Source organism: Homo sapiens, chromosome X, assembly GCF_000001405.40.
Source record: "Homo sapiens chromosome X, GRCh38.p14 Primary Assembly".
Lineage (NCBI taxonomy): Eukaryota > Metazoa > Chordata > Mammalia > Primates > Hominidae > Homo > Homo sapiens.
The window spans coordinates 68782790-68786937 of record NC_000023.11 but is presented as its reverse complement, the minus strand read 5'-3'; the positions used below and the strand labels follow the sequence as shown (position 1 = coordinate 68786937).

At 40.8% G+C, this 4148-nt stretch overlaps 1 pseudogene; it reads right to left on the bottom strand.

Annotated features, from left to right (window-relative positions):
* Positions 507-3565, bottom strand: SERBP1P1 (SERPINE1 mRNA binding protein 1 pseudogene 1; annotated as a pseudogene).

The following is a 4148-nucleotide window of genomic DNA, read 5'->3' as shown; positions in this document are numbered from 1 at the left end:
TGGTGTGTGATGTTCCCCTTCCTGTGTCCAAGTGTTCTCATTGTTCAATTCCCACCTATGAGTGAGAACATGCGGTGTTTGTTTTTTTGTCCTTGTGATAGTTTGCTGAGAATGATGGCTTCCAGTTTCATCCATGTCCCTACAGAGGACATGAACTCATCCTTTTTTATGGCTGCATAGTATTCCATGGTGTATATATGCCACATTGTCTTAATCCAGTCTATCACTGATGGGCATTTGGGTTGGTTCCAAGTCTGCTATTGTGAATAGTGCCGCAATAAACATACGTGTGCATGTGTCTTTATAGCAGCATGATTTATAATCCTTTGGGTATATACCCAGTAATGGGATGGCTGCGTCAAATGGTATTTCTAGTTCTAGATCCTTGAGGAATCACCACACTGTCTTCCACAATGGTTGAACTAGTTTACCGTCCCACCAACAGTGTAAAAGTGTTCCTATTTCTCCACATCCTCTCCAGCATCTGTTGTTTCCTGACTTTTTTTTCCTAGAAAACTTTTTTTATTCATCATTCTATGTGTGTTTTAATAAGTGGTGATTATTCCCATTATGGGAATCCATTATTAATCTAATTTTCTAATGGAGGAAGACAGAAAAGATAATTACCACTTTCTGTGGAATACTCAACTTACGACCAAATAATAGCAATCTAGGAAATTTAGAAACAGTAAAGATTTTTGGTTTATATTTCATGTATAGTGTTGCTGTTCCAAGCTTATAAAGTAAAGCTGTCTGCTTCCTAAATTCCAAAAATTAAAATACTCCCCCGCCTCACCCTGCCAACCAGTGCCCTTTGGTTTTTGTTTGTTTTAGAACAAGGAAGGGTTAAATGGTTGCTGATTATGGATGTACCATTTTGATTTGGGGAACTTTCACACACAGAAATCATACCAAATGGCCAGATACTTATTTTACAGAACAGTTTAAATATTACACATTGGCAAACTCAACTTATTCCACCCACCCTGGTGGAGAGGGAGAAAAAAACCCATACCTATAAAACTACTTCACTTGACAGGATGTGCCTACCAACAATAAGTAGTTTAAACAACTTTCACCAATTAAGATGTCTAGTTTAGATTTTAAAATGGGAAAATTATGCATTTAAAAAGTAAATATAGTTGAAAATGTAAGTCAGTTACAATTTGAACCTAATGAGCCATGCAAGGAGCAAGGGTTAATAAACCAATGTGCTTTGAATTTGTTCAAGTACTGATATTTCTGTATATAAAGATTTAGCATATATATATATAACAGCTATCACGAGAAGTGAAAAAAGATTTTTCCCCAAAAATGCAAATATTAAAACTAAGTTAAAATACATATAGTTAGTATTCCACACAGCATAAAATTTGACAAATCAAAGTTTAACATGTCCCAGTTGACCATGTGTGAATATGCAAAGCAGGTATTACAACCAGTATGTCCAATATTTAAAACCAGTTTGTAATTGGGGGAACTTCTAAATCCTTAATTTAAAAACACAAATGAAGTGAAAACTTTAAACTGGTACACACTGTTCACACCTATATTTCAAGTTTGGAAATGCATATTTGCAAGCAGCAATACAAAAGTATTCATGAAGAATGCATAATCTCTGAAAATTATGAAAACATCCCTGCTACCAATACATTTCTAAATACAAAACTGACAAATAACGTGTTTGTTATTTCTGTGTAGCAAGAGAAGTTCATTTTTAAAACAGATAAAATTCAGTCTTTAGGTGTGAATGGTATGAATGACAGTCTTTTTTTTTTTTTTTAAATAGTCCTTTGGAATCCTTAAGCATGCAAAAGCTTTGAACAGAAAGGTTCACAAAGGAACCAGGGTTGTCTTATGGCATCCAGTTAAGCCACAGCTGGGAATGCCTCTGGGTTATCCACATCAGGAGCAGAAGCACTTGACTTGCCGGTCCTGCTGCCACGGTTTGGGCGCCCACCACGCCCACATCCACCTCCTCCTCCCCTGCCGCCAGGTCCTGGGCGGCCAAGGTCTCCAAAATTGATCTCCAGCTGAGACGTTATATCATTTGCTGGCTTCCGGAAATGACGGTCCATAACCGAATCTTCAGCATGAGCCTCTTCACTCTTTGATTTATGAAGAACAAATCCCTTCTTCCACTGCCCATCAGCACCTTCATTTGGTTTTCGGATATTAAATTCTACTTTTGCCCAGTCCTTATTTTGAATAGCCTTCCACTCATCCAAAGTCATCTCTTTTGGACCCTCCTCTTTTACCTCTTCAACTTCATTCTCCTTATTTTCAGTGGCTGCCACTGGATGATGTTCTTCACCTTCAGGTGTTTCCTCAGTCACATTTGATTGATCCAAGTCAGTTAATTCGTCTTTAACAGTTCCCCAGTTGTGAGATCCGCTACCTCCACGTTTGTCCTCGTGCTTCAGGCCAGATCTATCACTTCCACTATGCCTATCAAATTCACGTTTGCCACGAGAATCAAATCCATCTCCTCTGCCCATTCCATGTCCACGGCCCCCTCGACCTCTTCCAAGACTACCACGACCTCGAATATGTCGGTCAATAATCGGTCTATCAGCTGAAAATTCGCCTCGTTCACCCTTTTCTTCAAGTGACTTTTCAAATCTTCGTTCACAAGGTGGTCGCCTTTCTGGTCTTCTATCAATTATTTTCCCTCCACCCTGAAGTTGTTGATCAGGTGTTCTTCCAATTCATCTTATTCCTTCTTTCTTTTTTTTTTTTTAATGTTTTAGCAGCTTTATTTATAATTACCAAAAATTCAAAGCAACCAAGATATCCTCCAATAAGTGAGTGGATAAACAAATTCTGGTATATCCATACCATGGGTTATTATTCAACATTAAAGAGAAACAAGCCATCAAGCTATGAACAGACATAGAGAAAACCTACATGCATACTGTTTCTTCTTTTTTTTTTTTTTTTTTTTTTTTTTTTTTTTTTTTTTTTTTTGAGACGGAGTCTCACTCTGTGGCCCAGGCTGGAGTGCAGTGGCGTGATCTCGGCTCACTGCAACTTCAGCCTCCCAGGTTCCAGCAATTCTCCTGCCTCAGCCTCCCAAGTAGCTAGGATTACAGGCACACACCACCACACCCGGCTAATTTTTGCATTTTTTTAATTTAGGTTAATTCTTTTATTCCTTCTTTCTTAAGCGCCATGGGCGGCTGCGTCTCCTCTTTCTTGTCAACCACGCCAACGCTGGGGGGCAGCGGGTTCTTGCGGTCTTTCTGGGACTCCTTGCGCAGCTGCTTGCCTGCCGCGTTGGAGTTGGTCTGGGCCGCGGCCTGAGCTACGCTCTTGGCCCCAGGGCCTCCAACGCCGGCCCGCCGGCTTCTTTTTTCTTTTTCTCCGCTGCCTTCAGCACCTCGAAGGGGTCCGATTCGTCAACAAATAACTGGTCGAATCGGTTGGTGACCACGCAGCTGAAGCCCTCCTGTAAGTGCCCAGGCATGATGGTGGCTCGGGGGCACATTCCTCCACGGATTGCAGTGGGCCGCGCAGAGCCGAAAGCGCCTGCTTCAGCTCTTCCCACAAGATGGCTGGGCCGAGAAAAGCTGTTTCCTGACTTTTTAATGATCGCCATTCTAACTGGTGTGAGATGGTATCTCATTGTAGTTTTGATTTGCATTTCTCTGATGGCCAGTGATGATGAGCATTTTTTCATGTGTCTGTCGTCTGCATAAATGTCTTCTTTTGAGAAGTGGCTGTTCATATCCTTCGCCCACTTTGTGATGGGGTTGTTTTTTTCTTGTAAATTTGTTTGAGTTCTTTGTAGATTCTGGATATTAGCCCTTTAAATGTTAGACCTAAAACCATAAAAACCCTAGAAGAAAACCTAGGCAATACCATTCAGGACATAGGCATGGGCAAGGACTTCATGTGTAAAACACCAAAAGCAATGGCAACAAAAGCCAAAATTGACAAATGGGATCTAATTCAACTAAAGAGCTTCTGCACAGCAAAAGAAGCTACCATCAGAGTGAACAGGCAACTTACAGAATGGGAGGCCTTGTTCTTAACCATTGCCTTATCTTTCCAGCCACCTTGGAGGAAGATGTTATCATTAGCTCTACATTGTGGATGAGAAATCTGAGCTGGTCACAGTGGTTCATGCCTGTAATCCCAGCACTTTG